We start from the raw sequence: 22208 nt of genomic DNA, 5'->3' as shown, positions 1-22208 counted from the left end.
TAGCTGGGACTACAGGCGTCCGCCACCACACCCAGCTAATTTTTTGTATTTTTAGTAGAGACGGGGGTTTCACTGTGTTAGCCAGGATGGTCTCTATCTCCTGACCTTGTGATCTGCCCGCCTCAGCCTCCCAAAGTGCTGGGATTACAGGCGTGAGCCACCGCACCTGGCCCTGATTCTATCAGGACTAATAAACTGGCTTTCAACCTTCTAAGTATAAATAAATCTGTCTCATTCACAGTAGCAGTAAACAGACATTATCAACTAACAGGATCTCCAAACTGAATTTTACAAATTTTACAATCTGCTTTTTTTTTTTTTTTTGAGACGAAGTCTTGCTGTCACTCAGGCTGGGGTCCAGTGGCGCGATCTCGCCTCACTGCAAACTCCGCCTCCTGGGTTCAAGTGATTCTCCAGCCTCAGCCTCCAGAGTAAATGGGATTACAGGCCCGTGCCACTACAACCGGCTAATTTTTTTGTATTTTTAGTAGAGACAGGGTTTCACCACATTGGCCAGGCTGGTCTCGTACTTTGACCTCAGGTGGTACACCAGCCTCGGCCTCCCAAAGTGCTGGGATTACAAGCGTGAGCCACCATGCCCAGCCTGCAGTTGTTTTTTAATGGATACTTGATCATTTAATGTCACCTGCCCTGTGATCTGCCAGCCAACCTGCTCTTCACCCCCTCTTCCTCTATGGGCAGGTAATCATGACACTTGCTGTTGGCATAAAGCGGGTGTTCAGGTAGCAAGTATTATCTTGCAGTACACCGGGGATTCTTTTAAAATAAAAAAATTTTTTTCACTATTTACCAGATTGTGGAGTTATTCGAGGCATCATCTGGTTTGGCACACTGCCACGGATCATACTTGGGTCAGGTAGAGGGCCATCTAGAGTAAAAAAGAGAAATAAGTATCTTTGCACCATCTTCCCTTAACCAAACAAAAACTCACTGCACACACAAACCCCACAAAATATTTTTAATAATACCTTTGAAAATTGAGTATGAATCACAAAATAAAGCTCTGAACTAGACAGAAGCTTGAAGAAAATGTTATTTCTGGAATACAGAAAAATGCCTCCAAGTGGATTTGTTGGTATTCCTTTATGAGCCCGGGTGCTTTCAATGTTGATAGAAAAATAAGCTATTGAAGCCATTATAGGCCAGGCACAGTGGCTCACGCCTGTAATCCTGGCACTTTGGGAGGCTGAGGTGGGTGGATCACTTGAGGTCAGGAGTTCAAAACCAGCCTAGCCAACATGGCGAAACCCTGTCTCTACTAAAAATACAAAAAAATTAGCCAGGCGTGGTGGCAGGCACCTGTAATCCCAGCTACTCAGGAGGCTGAGGCAGGAGAATCGCATGAACCTGGAAGGCGGAGGTTGCAGTGAGCCAAGATCACACGACTGCACTCCAGCCTGGGCGATGGAGCAAGACTCTGTCTCAAAAAAAAAAAAAAAAATTGAGGCCATCATAGCATTTAATATGTTATTGTTTAACAAAGTCTGAGTCTGGTTGGCATGCAACAGAGTATCTCCATGGATAATAGCTATGAATCATGTCTAATGGTGGCCGAATTTGATCATGTAGCACAACGTTTTTATGCACATAAACTGTGAACATTGATTTTAAATAATATGCATATTATACCACACTACATATCATGTACCTCTTAAATACAAAAACAGAAATAATTCTTAAAAAAATAAAATATCCTGTAATCCCAGCACTTTGGGAGGCCGAGGCGGGCGGATCACGAGGTCAGGAGATCGAGACCATCCTAGATAGCACGGTGAAACCCGTCTCTACTAAAAATACAAAAAAATAGCCGGGCGTGGTGGCAGGCGCCTGTAGTCCCAGCTACTCGGGAGGCTGAGGCAGGAGAATGGCGTGAACCCGGGGCATGACCCCGGGAGGTGGAGCTTGCAGTAAGCTGAGATCGTGCCACTGCACTCCAGCCTGGGCGACAGAGCGAGACTCCGTCTCAAAAAAAACCTAAAATATAAATACATAAATTCTAAGGTCTTTTTCCTGGATTATCTGCACATGCTCTAGTGTAGTACTTTCAACATAGTGCACAGAGAAAATATTTTTACAGCACCCTCGGAAAGGACAGATGTCTGTAGTGACCTGGCTCCACCCTGGCCATACCCTCCATCAAGGGCTGTACATTCAAGCCTCAGGCATAGGAGAGGAAGACCTGCTGCTCTTCTAAGGAGATGTCCATCCCTTCAGACAAATTTCAACCTTTAGTAAATGAGCAAAACTGAGAGAGGAAATGCTCAACATTTATTCATATAAACTTTTATCTGTAACTCTGCAAGCTTTATAAGAAGTATATGCATAATCCATGCTCATTACATAAAAATTAAAAATCAATAGAAAAATGAATCAGGATCCAACAAATGACCTTGAGATAAACCTTTCCTCTTCCTCCCCACACATATCTGTATTCACGCACACTATCTACAAAACAATGTTTTCACCTAAGATATGAGTAACTTTTTTTTCAAGTCAACAATATGGATAGGTGTTCCAAGCTAAATGGCAAGTGCCAAGCAGCTAATACCAAGTAAAACTGTTTTAAGTACCCAAAACAATAGAGAATGGTGAGGACTGAAGTGGAGAGAAAACACAGCTCTTCTAGAGTCAGCCATGAGTGCAGCTATAGACAGGTGTCACTGTAGGAGAAAGGGGGTCAAGTCTGCCAGACATGTCCTTTTTTTTTTAAAGCAGCCAGAAATTCAGACTTTTTAAATGCAAAATCTTCTGATTTTTAAGTATTTGAGACTAATCAAATGAAAATGGTTTAAAAATAAAACCGCAATCCTACTGCCCACATTTGCCCCATATGATGCAGATACGAATGTATCTATTATTGCTCCATGAGGCAGCTCTTGTCATTTTAAGGAAACTTGATGAATTATTTAAAGGAACATCTTGATACTATTTTTTAAGATAAATATTTAAAGGCTGGGCGCAGTGGGTCACACCTGTAATTTCAGCATTTTGGGAGGCCGAGGTGGGTGGATATCTTGAGCTCAGGAGTTCGAGACTAGTCTGGGCAACATACAGAAACCCTGTTTCTACTAAAAAATAAAAAAAAATTAGCCAGGCATGGTGGCGTGTGCCTGTGGTCCCAGCTACTTGGGGGGCTGAAGTGGGAGGATTGCTTGAGCTTGGGAGGCATGGAGGATGCAGTGAGCCGAGATCACACCACTGCACTCCAGGCTGGGCGAAACAGACCCCATCTCAAAAATGTATATATATAAATATTTAGAGGTAAAGAAAATATACACAAACAAAAATGTCCATCTTTCACATTTCAATATATATGCCCTTAATGCAAACTATATGCATTAAGTCAAATAATCAAAAACCCTTTATCACACAACACAAGTATCCTGGAATTCCACTGCCCCCATCAGAAGCCCATGTTCAGAGATTAGTATTTACTTCTTCCAGAACTTTTTCTAGGGCATATGCCACACTTAAAAAAACTCAGACTATAACATGCATACTTCTGTCATCAGCTTTTCCTGAAACTTCGTATCTTTGCAAAAAATTAATAAGGAAAGAGTTACCTACCTTCAACTCCATTAACAACCGGGATTATTTTTTCAAGATGGTACACGTTACATAAGTTTACTATGGGCATATTTTTAGGCCAATACACATAGTCCTGCCATTGCCACTCTCTGATTCTATAATAACTGTATTCTTTGTATTAAAACAAAAAAATCAAACGTGGCCAGGTGTGATGGCTCAAGCCTGTAATCCCAGCACTTTGCAAGACCAAGGTACGCGGATCACTTGAGGCCGGGAGTTCGAGACTAGGTTGGCCAACATGGTGTGAAACCCTGTCTCTACTGAAAATACAAAACATTAGTTAGGTGTGGTGATGCATGCCTGTAATTCCAGCTGCTGGGGATGCTGAGGTACAAGAATCAACTGAATCTGGGAGGCAGAGGTTGCAGTGAGCTTAGATGGTGCCACTGCACTTCAGCCTGAGTGACAAAGAGAGACTGTTTCAAAAAAAAAACAAAAACAAAACCAACAACAAAAAAACAAATGTTAAAGAAACATGAAGATGAGAATGTTATGTTTTCTTCAACATTCTACGTAGTTCTTTCAATTTTGTTTTTTCAAAGTTTACAAACCTTATTTATTTATTTAAAGACAGGATCTCACTCTGTTGTCCAGGCTTAAGTGCAGTGGCACAATCACAGCTCACTGCAGCCTTGACCTCCTGGGCTCAAGTGATGTTCCTGCCTCATCCTCCTGAGTAGCTGGGACTACAGGCACACACCTCCATGCCTGGCTAATTTTTGTATTTTTTATAGAGACAGAGTTTCACCATGTTGCCCAGGCTGGTTCTGAACTCCTAAGCTCAAGTGATCTGCAGCCTCAGCCTCCCAAAGAGCTGGGATTACAGGCGTGAGCCACCACCATGCCCGACCACTTTTATGCTTCTATTATTTTCTGTGTATCAGGTTAAGGTAAGAATCTCATTCTACAAAATGTCAGATTTAGTACGAGCTAAAGGTCAACATATACTTAAGGCTGATACTCAGTTCCACTACCACTTATTCCTGCTTACATCAGTACCATACTGTTTATACTGACATTAGAATACAATTTAATATCTCACAGACTTTAAACTTGGCTCAGAACTTCACCCAGAACTTGAGTAAATTCTACCAAAACCAAGTATCTCAGGTATGTCCACTTGTTTTTTTTTTGAGACAGAGTCTCGCTCTGTTGCCCAGGCTGGAGTGCAGAGGCACAATCTCGGCTCACTGCAAGCTCCGCCTCCCGGGTTCACACTGTTCTCCTGCCTCAGCCTCTTGAGTAGCTGGGACTACAGGTGCCCGCCACCATGCCCGGCTAATTGTTTTGTATTTTTAGTAGAGATGGGGTTTCACCGTGTTAGCCAGGATGGTCTCCATCTCCTGACGTCATGATCTACCCGCCTCGGCCTCCCAAAGTGCTGGGAGTACAGGCATGAACCACCGCACCCAGCCTGTCTACTTTTTTTAATCTTTAGTTACTACTCAAGTCCAAATCATGTACTGAAGCAGTCTCAACTCTAATCTTGACTTTTTCATTCCTGAAAATTTGTTCTAACTACTCAAAAAATCTGTGTTTTTCCTTACTATTGGGCAGCCTCCATGTATACTATTTCCTCAGCAATGTTGCTCCTCCCAACTTTTTACACATTACAAAACAGTACCTGGCACACTTCAGTTAGCAAATGAGGCTGCTAAAGGCCAGTGGTAACCAATGGTTCTCTACTTTACTACTTCAATGAATGAAAGAGATGAACTTCTCAGCCCACCTATAATCTACTGATCGTATGAGGTTTACTGCCCGCTGGCTCAGTTGGCACTTCTTAGAGGTCATTAGCATTTCCTAACTCAGTAAATGCAGGTTTTTCCTATCACAGCCTTGCTCACAGCACTTACAGCCTGTGCCATTCCTGAAAATGGTGTGCCTGCTCCATATTTCACTACTTTGATCGTACCAATAAGTCAACGATTGAGTAAGACTATTTATCATAGTCTTGGCTATCTGGTTAATTCATCAGGTCAACAATGATGCTATAATCAGAAACTGAAGCTGTCAAAATGTAATTTTAAATGATGCTTCTAGGCAGGGAGTGGTGGCTCATGCCTGTAATCCTAGTACTTTGGGATGCCAAGGTGGGCGGATCATTTGAGGCCAGGAGTTTGAGATCAGCTAGGCCAACATGGCAAAACCCTGTCTCTACGAAAAATACAAAAATTAGACAGGCGTGGTGGCATGTGCCTGTAATCCCAGCTACTCGGAAGGCTGAGGTGGGAGAATTGCTTGAACCTGGGAGGCGGAGGCTGCAGTGATCCAAGATCATGCCACCGTACTCCAGCCTGGGTGACGGAGTGAGACTCTGCCTCAAAAAAAAAGAAAAAGAAAAAAAAAAAAAGAGTTCCTAGACTTAGAATATTTTATGTCAAGTAGAAAGTGTGACAGTGTAATATGATATTATGTGTGTTACAGGGCTCCTGAACCTGGTCAGCCTACAAACATTTACTGGCTACTTACCACACAAGCCAGTCTCAGAGAAATCTGTGAACATCTGTATGTAGGCTATTGCTTTCTAGATGTCACTATTAGAGAAGTTTACACCTTGGGCTCTAAAAACAATTCCAGATTATCAAGGTATGTTAAGTACCATGCCCAGACATCTTAAATATACTTGTTCTGCTTCTGTTTTTACTAGTAGATGAGTTATTTTCTTTGCAAAGGCAAATGGTTATTTAAAAAACTCTAGAATAGTTACACAAGCTTACAGAAATTAATGACTTTAGATAGAAACTATTTTATTATCAATTTCTCTCAAACAGAAATATAACAAAAACCACTTACTAGAAGTCATTCCTGGTTGCGGCTGTCCCATGTTAGGCCCTGGATTCATGGAAACTGGAACCATGCCTGCAGCATTTGGTAGCATGTTCTGCTTCTGTAGTCTGGTCCTTCGTTTTTCTTCTAGTTCTTTCTGGATCTTATAGATTTTCTCAGCTAGAAGGTGGTAGTATTCCGCCTTTTGAATTGTTGAAGTAAAATAAGGGAGATGAGGAAAAAAGGAACTACCACCAGGTAACAGAAAAAATAAACTGAGAATAGATATTAGTTTCATTTTATATGCTGCATTAAGAACTGGTGCCAATTTAGAAAGGAAAGTTCAACTTATGTAGAGAATCTGAACTACCGTGAACAACAGTTAAGTCGCTACTTCATTATATTCTAGTGAAAAGAGAACACAGCTGGTAACAGCTCAGCACCACCCCACTCCTGTTTTTGAGAGAGACAAGGTCTCCCTCTGTCACCAGCAGCGCAATCCCGAATCACTGCAGCTTGACTTCCAAGGCTCTGGTGATTCCCCCACCTCAGCCTTTTGAGCAGCTGGGACAACAGGCACGTGCCACCATGCCTGGCTAATTTTTTGTAGAGATGGGGTTTTGCTATGTTGCCCGGGCTGGTCTCCAACTCCTAGGCTCAAGTGATCCGCCCACCTCAGACTTTCAAACTGCTGGGATTACAGGCACCGAGCCACTGCACTCGGCCAGCTCAGCCACTTTTTAGGTTGACAGGACAACCAGATAAAGTGCCACATGAGTGCACTGTATTAGGAGGAAAAACATAAGATTCTTGATGACATACACTTAAGAAACTGCTTTGGTATCCTAACTATGCTTGGGGACAATAAGACGGGATAGCTACAGCGTGTCCCCCGTCTGAAGCATATGTACTACTTGTACATGCTAAAGAGGAATAAAATAACCACAACAGGTTCAATCTTGGCTATTAATAGAAAAAAACCAGACACTCACTCGATTGTTTGCAGATTCATACATGTCCCCTTCAACTTTCCGAGCATATGCAACTAGGTTTTCCATCCGTCTGTCTTTTAAAGCAGCAGGATCCGGCGTAGGAAATATGGCTTGGACGCTGGAAAAAGAAAATCCTACCACTGTAATATCATGTCAGCATTTAATTAGTATTTTTCTGATTTTTATACACTGAACACATAGAGGAAAAGAAAAAATAATGGCAAGGTGATATATATTACTTACTGAAATGAAATTATCTTTTTGTGATAAACAAAAGAATTTTTGTCTATATTTCCGTTCACAATATAAGAAATGACTCTATAAAAAATACTCTTTGGTCCCTGTTACTCTAGACATAAAGCAAAATATTACTTTGGGTTACATACTAAAGACAGTGAGGAAAACAGGCCTTGTCATAGTATCAAGTAGCCTTCAGAGTTCCATCTGCTCTTCTAAATTTATTATTTAGCTTACTGAAATAAAATTCAGTAACCACTCTAAAATGTTAAAACATCAAAAACTTGAACTGTTCTGACAAAGGCTTATAAAAAACAAACAAAAAACCAAAAACCTGAAGTGGACAGACCAGAAATGCGTAATGATTCTGTTAGATTCAGTTTTTCACTTTCATGCAATTCCCTAACAAAATGTTTTGCACTAGTATCTCTTATGACTGACAAATGTGATCTTTAGGCACTAATTTTATTTGGACATCCCGTACTCAGTTGCATAGGACTTGAAGGAACCAGATCAAGAAGATATAAATGGAAGTCCAGAATAATACCAAGTTGGTAGAAAACTCGAGCATATATAATAAACTTTTAACGTAAAGTCAAATGATCAACCCCAAATAATCATCTCTGTCCATTAAATAAAAGTTCCTGAATAGTCTGTCACAAAATAAGAGATCGGTTATTCTTTATTAAAGGAATAATTTCATTAAACTTGTGAAGTTCTTTCCTTGTCAAATTCCGTTACTTAGTGCTACCACTGAAGAATTCCTGGCTGGACACAGTGGCTCAACGCCTATAATCCCAGCCCTTTGGGAGGCCAAGGCAGGTGGATCACCTGAGGTCAGGAGTTCGAGACCAGCCTGGCCAACACGGCGAAACCCCATCTCTACTAAAAATACAAATATCAGCCAGGTGTGGTGGCAAACACCTGTAACCCCAGCTACTTGGGAGGATGAGACAGGAGAAACGCTTGAACCCAGGAGACGGGAGGTTGCAGTAGCCAGCCGAGATCACGACACTGCACTCCAGCCTGGGCGACAGAGAAAGACTCAGTCTCAAAAACAAAAACAAAAACAAACAAACAAAGAATCCTAAATGATTAGCAAGCATGGGTTCGTGGGAGGAAAAAAAAATTCCTAAATGAAACGTATATAATTGGTAGTTTGACATAACATAAAAATAAATTAAGACAAAATGATAAATAGTTCCTCAGTCAATTAAAAAATATGGATACAGTAAAGACGACCCTGCTATTAACTGAAAGTGAAATGAAAAGACTTCTCCAAGAAAAAATACTGCATGGTGTTTGAAGGGTAAACTCTGTAATTGGCAAGGTCCAAGCTCTACCTTTTTATGATGCTGAGCACATTTCATTACCTTGCTCTATATGCCTCCCCCTCCTTCATCTGACAAAAACTCTTTAGATTAAGATGGAGTTCGTAAGGGGAGAGTGCCTGAAATATATCAACTTCTCAAAAATAAACTGCCATGTGCACATCTGGAGGACGAGAAGACCAGAGAGTCCACCCTACCAGATTTTTACATAATAAAAGCTCTACCAGGACAGGCGTGGTGGCTCACACCTGTAATCCTAGCACTTTGGGAAGCTGAGGCAGGCGGATCACTTGATGTCAGGAATTTGAAGTCAGCGTGACCAACACAGTGAAACCCCGTCTCTACTAAAAATACAAAAATTAGCCAGGTGAGGTGGCACGTGCCTGTAGTCCCAGCTACCTGGGCGGCTGAGACAGGAGAATCACTGGCACCTGGGAGGCGAAGTCTGCAGTGAACCAAGATCGTGCCACTGCACTCCAGCCTGGGCAACAGAGTGAGACTCCATCTCAAACAAACAAAAAACCCCTGCTCTACCAGGAGTAACAGAAAAGGATGTTATCAATGCAATATTTTAATGAGCTGAGGCCTAGTTTTTCTTAGATATATAAGTTTTGCAAAGGCAATAGCTAAAAACAATGTTTAATATATTATTTACTGTCACTAGACAGAATAGTTCACATACCATTAAAGCTGAAAGACTACCATAGATGATGGTGGGAAAGGTTGAGAAGGAAAAAAGCAGCAGCAGCAAGAAATCCACAAGAGTAGAAGTATCAACATCAACCTCCATGCTACAGAAAAATTGCTAATATTCCTTTAGTAATTAAATGCCCAGGAGATTGAAAACATGTTGACGTAACATCTCTTTACGAATGAGACGTGTCCACAATCTTACTTACAGTTTGTGAACAAGATGATTTCGAAGATCCTGAGTAATATCTTCGTGCCACTGTTTCCGAATTCCAGTAGTGGATGGTTGAGCTGCTGTTGGCATAGGACCCAGGGAGGGCACACTGGCATTTTCACTCATCATTGGGCTTCAAAAAGGGGTCACCAAATAGTTTTAGTGAAGAAAGGTAGGAGAAGACCTCATTTAATTCAAGCTGACACTGATTATTGTAATGGAATCAATATGCTATGTCACTTCTATTCGCATTAAGGAGCTAGGCAGGGAGAAGTGTGTGACTAGACTGATTTTAAACTGTGCATGTTCATACCTGTGTGAGGGTAAGTTGTATTTCTTTGGAGGGCAGGATGATGTCCTAACACAAGATATCATAAGACTTCATTTTCTGGGTTTTGTCTGTAATGCCTTTTTTTTTTTTTTTTTTTTGAGACAAAGTCTTGCTCTGTTGCCCAGGCTGGACTGTAGTGGTGCAATCCCAGATCACTGCAATCTCTGCCTTCTGGGTTCAAGCGATTCTCCTGCCTCAGCCTCTTGAGTTGGTGGGATTACAGGCACCCGCCACCACGTCCGGCTAATTTTGTATTTTAGTAGAGATGGGGTTTCATCATGTTGGCTAGGCTGGTCTCAAACTCCTGACCTCAAGTGATCCACCCACCTGGGCCTCCCAAAGTGCTGAGATTACAGGCGTGAGCCACTGAGCCCAGCCATTTTTTTTTCCTTCTTGAGATGGCGTGTCGCTCTGTCACCCAGGCTGGAGTGCAGTGGCATGATCTCAGCTCACTGCAACCTCTGCCTCCGGGGTTCAAGCGATTCTCCTGCCTCAGCCTCCTGAGTAGCTGGGATTACAGGTGGATGCCACCATGCCCGGCTAATTTTCTTATTTCTAGCAGAGACAGGATTTCGCCATGTTGCCCAGGCTGGTCTTGAGCTTCTAAGATCAAGCAATCTGCCTGCCTCGGCCTCCCAAAGTGCTGGGATTACAGGGGAGCTGCCATGCTCGGCCCATACTTAGTTTTCTAAGGCTTGTGTTATCAGACTAAGCTGTCATTTTAACACAGCTCACCTCAGGGAATGCTTTGGATGATGGACTACCTCTCTTTTTAAAATAATAATTTTTATCTTTTGAGACACAGTCTCGCTGTCACCCAGACTAGGGTGCAGTGGTGTAATCACGGCTCACCAGAGCCTCGACCTCCCAGCCTCAAGTGCTCCTCCCACCTCAGCCTCATCAGTAGCTGGGACTACAGGTGCACGCCACCATGCCCCGTTAACTTTTTTGTATTTTCTTGTAGAGAAGACGTCTTGACATATTGCCCAGGCTGGTGGACTAATTCTTAACATCAGGATAAGGCTATTATGGAGCTGTAACCTTGCAACATCCTACTGTATTAGGGAAGGTGTAGGCTACACTAGAAAATCAATACAATTTCGATTAAGGCTGTAGAAAGAAGAAAGAGTGGGCTAGGCGTGGTGGCTCACGCCTGCAATCCCAGCACTTCGGGAGACTGAGGCAGACGGATCGCGAGGTCAGGAGTTCAAGAACAGCCTGGCCAACACAGTGAAACCCTGTCTCTACCAAAAGTACAAAAATTAGCTGGGCATGGTGGTGTGTTCCTGTAATCCCAGCTACTCAGGAGGCTGAGGCAGGAGAATTGCTTTAACCAGAACCAGGAGGCAGAGGTTGCAGTGAGCTGAGATCATGCCACTGCACTCTAGCCTGGGCTACAGAGCGAAAAAAGAAAGAATGGACTCAAACATCTATCTGTATTCAAAGACATCCTCAAACCGAGGAAACTAAGTTCAAAAGTCAAACAATGAATTGTTAACCAGTAGTATTTGTAATGTGACCCAGGGTATAAATCACGTTAAGACTTACTTTTGAGAATTTATGGCTGAATGCAACATTGAGTCAGAAAGAAGACTCGGCGTTTGAACTCCTACACCTCCATTTACTCCCATAGGACTAGCACCTAAGTCAAAATGAAATAACAGGAGACAGAAATAAATACAACAGCCACCATACAATAAATACTATAAAGTTAAGAAACAAATGACAAATCAGAAAAAAAATTTGCAGCATATACAATAAATAATTGACAATATAACTGGCAACACATATGTAAAGGCTGATTTGAAGCACCCTTACAAACAGGTAAGAAAAAGATGAAGCACCCAACAGTAAATCATAGAAAACGAAACATAACTTAAAAAAAAAAAGCAAATGTGACCAGGCGCAGAGGCTCACGCCTGTAATCTCAGCACTTCAGGAGACCAGAAGAAATAAAAACAAAGGGAACTTGAGTAATCTTAAATCTAATTCTAAATAAAAAGACACGAAGAAATGGGGGCAAAAATCCCCCAAAATTATCATTCAAATAATTGTGCATATATATAAAAGTACATAGGCAAGATAATATAATGAGAGGAAAAGAGCTATAATAGGAACTATAAACATAACTTTGAAAAACAAAAGGGAACTACCCAATTACAGTAATGAAATTCCAGGCCAGGGGAAGACAACAACCTACTAAAACTTAAGGAAAAAGGTAAGTGCATTCTGCGTAACATGGAATGGGAGATAAAAAAGCAATGCTGGCTGGGCGTCCTGTAATCCCAGCACTTTGGGAGGCCGAGGTGGGCGGATCACGAAGTCAGCAGTTCAAGACCAGCCTGGCCAATGTGGTGAAACCCTGTCTCTACTAAAAGAAAACACAAAAAGGTGGTGGTGTGCGCCTAGTCCCAGCTACTCTTGGAGGCTGAGGCAGGAGCATCGCTTGAACCCAGGAGGCGGAGGTTGCAGTGAGCCGAGATGGCGCCACTACACTCCAGCCTGGGCGACAGAGTGAGATGTTGTCTCAAAAAGAAAAAGAAAGAAAGAAAGAAAAAAGCAATGCTCATTCCAAGACAGAAGATATAAAACAAGAGGGGAAAATATGCTAGTGTCCAGGTCCAACTTTCCATTACCGCTGTACATGTTATTTTCAATACAGAAGAGGTAAAAGGAAGCCTGAAAAGGCAAGATTGCTCCTCATCCCTTTTCCTAGTCCTGCTTAAAAACTCGTCACTCAATAATTATTTAACTAGTTAGTACTGGTTGTCATGGAAGTAACGAAAAACACAAACTGCTTTGGGAGGTCGAGGCAGGCGATCACTTGAGCTCAGGAGTTCAAGACCAGCCTGGGCCACATGGCGAAACCCTGTCTCTACAAAACATACAAAAATTAGCCAGGCGTGGTGGTGCACGTATGTGGTCCCAGCTACTTGGGAGGCTGAGGTGGGAGTACCGCTTGAGCCCAGGAGGCAGAGGATGCAGGCCAAGATCGCACTACTGCACTCCAGCCTGGGTGACACAGCGAGACCCAGTCTCAAACACACACATACACACACAGTGAGACCAATCTCACACACACACACACGTACGTTTCCAGTTATCAGACCCAGTCTCAAAAACACACATGCACACAGCGAGACCAAACTCAAACACACACGTACGTTTCTAGTTATCCATAATTTATCTAAGAAAACTTATCTAAGTCCCTGATTAGGTAAAACTCAAGAAAAACATCCTCCTTGAAAATACTACTTTCAAGAATGAAATCAGAAAAAAAAAAAAAAAAAAGAAAAGAATGAAATCAACAGACCAAGTAATAAACAATAACAACAGGGCAGGAATGAAGAATCTAAAGAATATTAAAATAGAAATGGTCTGGTACAATGAGCATTAGCACAACTGTCTAAAATAGTCATGCCAGTGACTGCAAAATCTGACTTACAAACTTGAATACAAGAAGCTCCATGTCACTATCTAGCATTTTAGATCTTAAATTATTAAAAGTCAAAATCAAAATTGATGGGTCTAAAAATGTTTGCATTTCACTCTCATAACTTTCAGTTTCTGACAAAACAGTTGTTCAACAGTTTTGAAAACAGGAGCATTAAACTTTACTGCACAGTGGCTCAACATGTGCTTAAAAGCAGATCACTGGTTTGAAAATACTGTTATTATATAGTAAAGAAAAACAGAAAGAAAAAAATGTCCTGAAGATTAATTCAAAAACCAAAAATGGGAGCAACAGAACACAGCAGTGGAAAATAGGAAGAAAGTAAAAAATAGCAGTATGGGTTGGTTGGCATCCCAAATACAGAAATCCAAAACTTTGTGAATGATATTCAAGGGAAATGCTCAATGCAGCATTTTGATTTTTGGATTTGGGATTCTCAACTCAACCAGCAAATATAAACATTCCAAACTCCGAAAAAAATCTAAAGTACTCTGCTTTCAAGCATTTAGGAAAAGGGATACTCAATCTGTATTAAAAAATAATCTTAGAGGGTCAGGCACAGTGGTTCATGTCTGTAATCACAGCACTTTGGGAGGTTGAGGCAGGCAGATCACCTGAGGTCAGGAGTTCAAGACCAGCCTGGCCAACATGGCAAAACTTCGTTCCAAAAAAAAAATTAGCTGGGTGTGGTGGCAGGTGCCTCTAATCCCAGCTATTTGGGAGGCTGAGGCAGGAAGAACTGCTTGAACCCAGGAGGCGGAAGTTGCAGTGAGCCAAGATCGTGCCACTGTACTCCAGCCTCGGTGACACAGCGAGACTCTGTTTCCGGGGTGGGGGTGGGGGGGGGGATAATCTTAGGCCAGGTGCGGTGGCTCATGCCTGTAATCCCAGCACTCTGGGAGGCCAAGGCAGGAGGATTGCTTAAGACCAGGAGTTCAAGACCAACCTGGACAAGACCTGGTCTCTACAATGCTGGATGTCTAACTACTCAAACAAAATAGCTTAGATATTTGAACTGCTTGACAGCAGAGGGATAGACACAGAAAAAAGCTGTTTGATTTTATCATATGCAATTAGAGAAACATACATATCCCAAAATTAAGATATTAGAACAATTCTTCCAATGTTATCATATGCAATCAGAGAAACATATATATCCCCAAATTAGGATACTGGAACACTTCTCCCTCTTCCCTCTCAGTCATAAAACAGGAAGTGAGGCAAACAAGTCACAAAAAAACTATTTGAAAAGGCACACTATTCCTCCTGCCAGACATGAGGAAATCATTACCAACTACACTCATTTCTATATGTTTCAGCCCAAAATGCCTCAAGTCAAAACACAATTTCTGTTGTATAGTTTAAAGCAGCAGAATAATTGGAGATCTCAATGTCCATCTGTAAGAGATTGTTGGGCCGGGTGCAGTAGCTCACGCCTGTAATCCCAGCATTTTGGGAGGCCCAGGTGGGTGGATCACGAGGTCAAGAGATTGAGATCATCATGGCCAACATGGTGAAAACCCCACCTCTACTAAAAATACAAAAATTAGCTGGGCATGGTGGCACGCGCCTGTAGTCCCAGCTACTCAGGAGGCTAAGGCAGGAGATTCGCTTGAACCCGGGAGGCAGAGGTTGCAGTGAGCCGAGATCGTGCCACTGCATTCCAGCCTGACAACAGAGCGAGACTCCATCTCAAAAAAAAAAAAAAAAAAAAGAATGAAAGAATGACATACTATACAACCATTTAAAATGATACATGGAATACTGACTATGAAAGATGTCTACATAGTATTTTTTTTTTTTTTGAGATGGAGTCTTGCTCTGTCACCCAGGCTGGAGTGCAATGGCTCAATCTCAGCTCACTGCAACCTCTGCCTCCCAGGTTCAAGCCATTCTCCTGTCTCAGCCTCTCGTGTAGCTAGGATTACAGGCACGCACCACCACACCCTACTAATTTTTGTATTTTTAGTAGAGACGGGGTTTCACTATGTTGGTCAGGCTGGTCTCAAACTCCTGACCTTGTGATCCACCCACCTTGGCCTCCCAATGTGCTGGGATTACAGGTGTTAGCCACCATGCCCGGCCCGTCTACACAGTATTAATCAAAGTTTGTTGTGGAATAACATATGGGATCTCATTTCTGCAAATCTGAACTCATATAATGCAAAAAAGGATCAAGGAAGATACAAACCAGTGGCAGTTACCTCTCGTAGATGAACTGTAAGGGACCTTTTACACTGTAATCTTTAAAAAATTACTTAAAAAATCATGTAGCAGAAAAAATAAAAAGGAGCTAACAACACTGTGTTTATAGATGTCATTTACTGACACAACCAATACCATGTTATTAGGATGACACAAACTTACTCATGTTGCTCATGGGCCGCATGCCTTGGGGAGACTGCCCAGGCTGCTGATTCTGCTGGTTCTTTGCTTGCACCTGGGGTTGTGTCGGCATCTGATTTACTTGATAGGGTAGTCCAAGAGCTGCATAGGCTCTTTCTATGGAGCTGGGATCAATCTGACTAACAGTGCTTAGGTTGGGGGCAGACTGTTGACCCACCCCTAGAGAGCTAGGATTTCCAAGTCCAACGGGTGCTCCAGTCAAAATTGCTAGAGAAGACAAAAGATATAGTATTACAAATTAATGCTGGTGAGAAAAAAAAGACTAACATGTCTAATAAAAAACCCCACAAAATTATTGTTACGTGATTATGAAACATCTGAGTATGTGGATCTTGTCTTCCATTATTTCCTGGAAGAAATTTCTAGATGCAGAACTGATTGGTAAAGGGGACCACTGGTATAAAAGGCTTTTGATTCTGAATGCCCAATAGCCTTCCCAAAGGGCTTTATTAATGTTCCGACCAACACTGTATGAATGCTTTGGAGCCATTCAACTGCCAACACCCGGCAGCATCATTTCTGCCTACACTACAGGAGAGAAACGATACCTTATTTCTCTTCTTAATAGTGAATTATATTGGGAGTTCCCCTCTCTCCTCCCGTCTCTGGTGAATTGTCTATTTTCTATTCCCAATTCTTGTTATAAAATTTAATTCCATTTTCAAATGCTGTACAATACTTCCCAAATTTGTCCTTTAACCCTAAAAGCTTAAATTTTTGTTGCTATAGAGATGTGGTAGTTACAATTTTAAAGTGTTAATCTCGTCTTTTCTCTTAAAAAAAAAAAGCTCTTCTATATCCCAATATTATAAAAATAATCTCATATTTTTTCTTTTTAAAATAATTTCCAAGTACCTGGAACGTTTAGATCACAAGTATAGTATAAAAGAATAACTTGCCCAATGCCAAAGCAACGGTCTTTAAATTTTCATAGGTTCAAAGCAGAACATAAATTTACCTATTGCTGTTTGTATAAATAATAAGTATTGAGAGTTCCTGGATCTTATTTTGGATGTTAAGCAGTGTTCAGTTGTTTTTTTTGTTTTGTTTTGTTTTGTTTTTTTTAAAGACAGGGTATCCTTGTGTCACCCAGGCTGGACTGCTGTGCCACAATCATAGCTCACTACAGCCTCCACCTCCTGGATTCAAGCAATCCTCTCATCTCAGCCAGGCACACCACACACAACTAATTTTTAAAGTTTTTGGAAGATACAAGGTCTTGCTAAGTTGCCTAGGCTGGTCTTGAACTCCTGGGAATCCTCTTGCCTTGGCTTCCAAAACTGTTGGGATGACAGGCATGAGCCACTGCACTGTTTTTTCTTTCTTTTTTTTTTTTTTTTAATTGAGGCAGGTTCTCACTCCATCACTCAGGCTGGAGCGCAGTAACATGACCATAGCTCACTGCAGCCTCAAACTCCCTAAGCAGTTCAATTCTATGCACTAGGGAAGCAGAAAAATTAAAAGGGAAAAAAACATTTATTCAACATAGTACAACACCACAGGTCCCTCACATAATCAAGTAGTACTATAAATGGCACTGGTGAGACTTTAAAACTTTTCATATAAACCTTCAAAAGATTTCATCACTTACGCTGTTGATTTCTCTTATCACCAGCATTTTTGAGGGGGAGACACACAGGACAATCATGTCTTGTACAATTCTTCCAGTGTGAAATGATTTGTCGAGAAGATGCACAGTGTGCCACTAAAGAGAAGAAAACATATTTTTTCAAGAGCAGGTTAATGTTTTTACATTAATAATAGCTAACTTGTTGACCACTTAATAAGTAACATAAATGCATTAACTTATTTCATCTTCCTAACAGCCCTATAAGGTAGCTCCTATTAATACTCAGAATTCACAGTCAAGAAAGGCAAAAAGAATGGGTAAGCAATTTGCACAAAGTCACAGAGTACTCAAAGTGAGATTCAACCTCAAGCAGTCTGGCTTAAGAGCCCTCATTTTTCACCATGCTATACACAACCTACTTTATTCTAAGCAAATGTACTCTAAACCAATGTTATGACACACATGCCTATAAGAACACTTTTTAATGACTTCATACAAATTGTATTAGATCGGGTAAAAATGACTGCAGTAAATTGTATTAAATTGAACACTTGCCTACATGACAGTTAGCAAACCCTCAATAACATTTAAAGTATGCTATGCTAGGGCAAATAAAAATCAAAGTCTATGAGGATCACCACATGGGAAGACCTTTAAAATTTATTCTCTTCTCACATCCTTAGATACTTGCTCACAAAAACGATAGTGTGTTTTGGCCGGGCGCGGTGGCTCACGCCTGTAATTCCAGCACTTTGGGAGGCCGAGGCGGGCGGATCACGAGGTCAGGAGATAGAGACCATCCTGGCTAACACAGTGAAACCCCGTCTCTACCAAAAATACAAAAAAAATTAGCCGCCATGGTGGCGGGCGCCTGTAGTCCCATCTACTCGGGAGGCTGAGGCAGGAGAATGGCATGAACCCAGGAGGCGGAGCTTGCGGTGAGCTGAGATCACACCACTGCACTCCAGCCTGGGCGACAGAGCGAGACTCCATCTCAAAAAAAAAACTGTGTTTTTATCATTTCCTAAAATAACGTCACTATCAGTAAAGGAGTCTCAAAATTGATTTTGTTTATGGCAGCTTTATTCGTAATTGCCACAGAATGGACGCAGCCAAGACGACCTTTACCGAGTGAGTTAACTGTGATGATGCATTTAGACAATGGAATTTTCTAAATGCTTTGGGGTATAAATATTTTTTAAATTGCACATATTGGCCAAGCGTGGTGGCTCACGCCTGTAATCCTAACACTTTGGGAGGCCAAGGCGGGTGGACCACAAGGTCAGGAGATTGAGACGATCCTGGCCAACACGGTAAAACCCCGTCTCCACTAAAAATACAAAAAATTAGCCGGGCATGGTGGTAGGCGCCTGCCTGTAGTCCCAGTTACTTGGGAGGCTGAGGCGGGAGAATGGCATGAACCTGGAAGGTGGAGTTTGCAGTGAGCCGAGATTGTGCCACCACACTCCAGCCTGGGAAACAGAGCGAGACTCTGTCTCAAAAAACAAATAAATAAAATAAAATAATTTTAAAAAATTACACATATGTACACTGTTTTTTTTTTGAAACAGGGTTTGGTTCTATCGTCCAGGCTGGAGTGCAGTGGTATGATGTCGAATCACACCAACCCCTGCCCTCTTGGGCTCAAGCCATCCTCCCACCTCAATCTCCCAAGTAGCTGGGACTACAGGAACACACCCAGACATCTGGCTGATTTTCTTTAGTATTTTTTTGTAGAGACGAGGTTTCACCATATTGCCCAGGCTGGTCTTGAACTCCTGACCTCAAGTGATCTGCCCACCTCAGTCTCCCAAAGTGCTGGGATGACAGGCATGAGCCACTGCGCCCAACCTTTTTTAAAGACATGGTCTCACATTGTCACCCAGGCTGGAGTACAGTGGCGCAATCATAGCCCCCTGCAGCCTTGACTTCCTGGGCTCAAGCAATCCTCCTTCCTCAGCCTTCTTAGTCCCTCAGCTAGGACTACAGGTGCATCATCATGCCCGGCGAGGTCTTGCTATGTTGTCCAGGCTGGTCTCAAACTCCTGGCCTCAAGCAATCCTCCCCATTTGGCCTACCAAAGTGCTGGGATTGTAAGTGTGAGACACCACACCTGGTCTAATGTATACATTTTGGTGACTTTGTACATACAGACACCATCACCACAATTAAGGTATTAAACATATCCATCACCACAAAATAGACTTGATCACATTTTCCTTCTTCTCCCTGGCTGTAAAAATTGCTAAGTACAGTAACCCTGTGGGTCCACTTACCTTGGCAAGACTTGCCTGACTGGCAGTGTGTCATGTGGTTTAGGACATTCTTCATTGTGCGACAGTGGGGAAGGTTGCACTGCCTCACTTCCCCATTGGCCTGTTCCCGGCGCTGGCACTTGTGAGCATGCAAAAGGAGAACAAGCTGCTGCTGGATGAGCTTGCGCTTCTCTGGATCAGCTGTATGTGCTCCAGAACCCATCCCTTGGGCAACTGGAGTCACCAGGCCTGGCTGCTGGACCTGCGGGGCTGGCTGTTGACCCTGAGAGATATAACAATATATTTAATGGTAGGAGTCATAATGTGCTATTTCTTAATAAATAGAGATGTGGATATTTTCAATGAAAACCTTTATGGTTAGTCTACTATAAGCCAGACTCCATTTTTTGACACAGGGAATGCATAAACCATGGCTCCTACCTTTAAGAAGCTCAATTTAATAAGAAAAAAAATGACATTACGAAGTGATATAAGTATGTATAATACACAGAGAGCAAAAGCAGAGAGAAGGACATGGTAAACTCCAGCGGGAGAGGGAAGGGTGAGAGGGTGTCTGTAGTTAAAAGCACACCCAAATTAGGTTTTAAAGAGCAATGAAGAACTCCTCAAGAGACTCAGCAGAGGGGTCTTTCGGGTTGGTGAAAAACTAGTTTTTCTAAACTCTGGGATAAATTTAGTTTTTTAAATTAAAAAGTGAAGATTTCAGGCCGGGCGCGGTGGCTCACGCCTGTAACCCTAGCACGTTGGGAGGCCGAGGCAGGCGGATCACCTGAGGTCGGGAGTTCGAGATCAGCCTGACCAACATGGAGAAACCCTGTCTCTACTAAAAATACAAAGTTAGCCGGGCATGATGGCACATGCCTGTAATCCCAGCTACTCAGAAGGCTGAGGCAGGAGAGTTGCTTGAAACCAGGAGGGAGAAGTTGCAGTGAGCCGAGATCGTACCACTGCACTCCAGCCTGGGCAACAAGAGCTAAACTCCGTCTCAAAAAAAAAAAAAAAAAAAAAAAAAAAAAAAAGTGAACATTTCTCGGGACAGAGATGACATGTTTCATTCATCTGTATAACTCCAGTACTTGGCAGAGTATCTCAAATATAGGCAGTCCATAAACATAATGACACAAAGGACAAAACTAAAACATCTGAAAGAGGATTTTTTCAGACAATGTTTTTCCAAAGTTGAATGCAGACACATTTACTACTAGTAGTTTGACTGTACAAAAATAACACTAGAAGTTCCTGAAAATTTTATTTAACAAAAATTGCTGTTTAAAACAATACATTACTTTTGAGAGGGAATTTACTTGGGTGTAGTAGAATCAAATAATATTGGTAAATATGGTCACTGAGAGTTCGGATCCTTTGCCAGAGATTCCTTCCCCCAAAAGTGAAAGGTTCCGCTTTCGTATCGTATGGAAACGCTCACAAGACCAAGTTGCTGAATGGCAGGCCCCTAAAACTTCATTGTAGCAGTTCACTTACTCCTGTTTGGATCAACATGCTCACTGATCAATAACCACATGGAACAAAAAAAACAGAGAAATGGAAAGGAAGCACAAGCCTCCTCACAGGGATCATCAAGTACATATCAATTTAGGCTCCTAGTGGGTACAAATCCCAGCATATATAACAGAAGGGTGAAAGTTTAACACAATTCTTTTGTCAAAATGCCAGTTTGAAAACAAGTCTGTAATGGATTAGTACTCACCATGTTGGGCATTCCTCCACCAGGAACTGCCTTTTTGTCCATAGCAAATGGAGATAAGTTATTTGATAGTACAGTTTTTGTCTGAATCTGGAGACCAAGGCCACTGGCTCCAATCTGCTGTCCAGGATTCTGAGTATATGGTGAACCATAAGGATTGGGGTTGTTCATCATTCCCATCTAAGAGTAAGAAACAAAAGAAAACAAAATAAGCAATAAAATTTAAGACATTATTATTCCTTTTCTGATTTCACTTCCAAGTTCACAAAGACAGTTTCAAAGGAAATTCTCAGCTTCTATTAGAAAAGACACTACAGCTTGGGCAACGTGACAAAACCCCATCTCTACTAAAAAATACAAAAATCTGGACATGGTGGCGCAAGCCTATAGTCCCAGCTAATTGGAAGGCTAAAGTGGGATTATCAGTGAAGCCTGGGAGGTAGAGGTTGTAGGGAGCCATGATGGCAAAAAACCAAGTGGCCGGGCCTGGCGACTCATACCTGTAATCCCACCACTTTGCGAGGCCAAGGCAGGAGGGTTTCTTGAGGTCAGGAGTTTGACAACAGCCTGGGGAACATGGTGAAAACCCATCGGTACCAAAATACAAAAAAAAAACCCCAAAAA

General features: G+C 42.0%; 1 protein-coding gene across 2 annotated transcripts in view; it reads right to left on the bottom strand.

Annotated features, from left to right (window-relative positions):
* The window catches only part of EP300 (EP300 lysine acetyltransferase), an 87486-nt gene that overhangs the window by 32450 nt on the left and 32828 nt on the right, over positions 1–22208 (bottom strand). The window contains exons 3-11 of one of the 2 annotated variants that reach the window (NM_001429.4): positions 21588–21764; positions 19880–20141; positions 17625–17738; positions 15995–16240; positions 11722–11815; positions 9838–9975; positions 7371–7488; positions 6406–6580; positions 812–889 (exon numbers count right to left, since the gene is read on the bottom strand). In NM_001429.4, coding sequence (NP_001420.2) covers positions 812–889; positions 6406–6580; positions 7371–7488; positions 9838–9975; positions 11722–11815; positions 15995–16240; positions 17625–17738; positions 19880–20141; positions 21588–21764 — 1402 coding nt within the window. The remainder of the gene's footprint in view (positions 1–811; positions 890–6405; positions 6581–7370; positions 7489–9837; positions 9976–11721; positions 11816–15994; positions 16241–17624; positions 17739–19879; positions 20142–21587; positions 21765–22208) is intronic. The other variant, NM_001362843.2, reaches the window with a different exon arrangement.

The sequence above is a fragment of the Homo sapiens genome, chromosome 22 (genome assembly GCF_000001405.40).
Source record: "Homo sapiens chromosome 22, GRCh38.p14 Primary Assembly".
In the NCBI taxonomy this organism is placed as follows: domain Eukaryota; kingdom Metazoa; phylum Chordata; class Mammalia; order Primates; family Hominidae; genus Homo; species Homo sapiens.
This window is presented reverse-complemented; position numbering and strand designations above follow the sequence as displayed.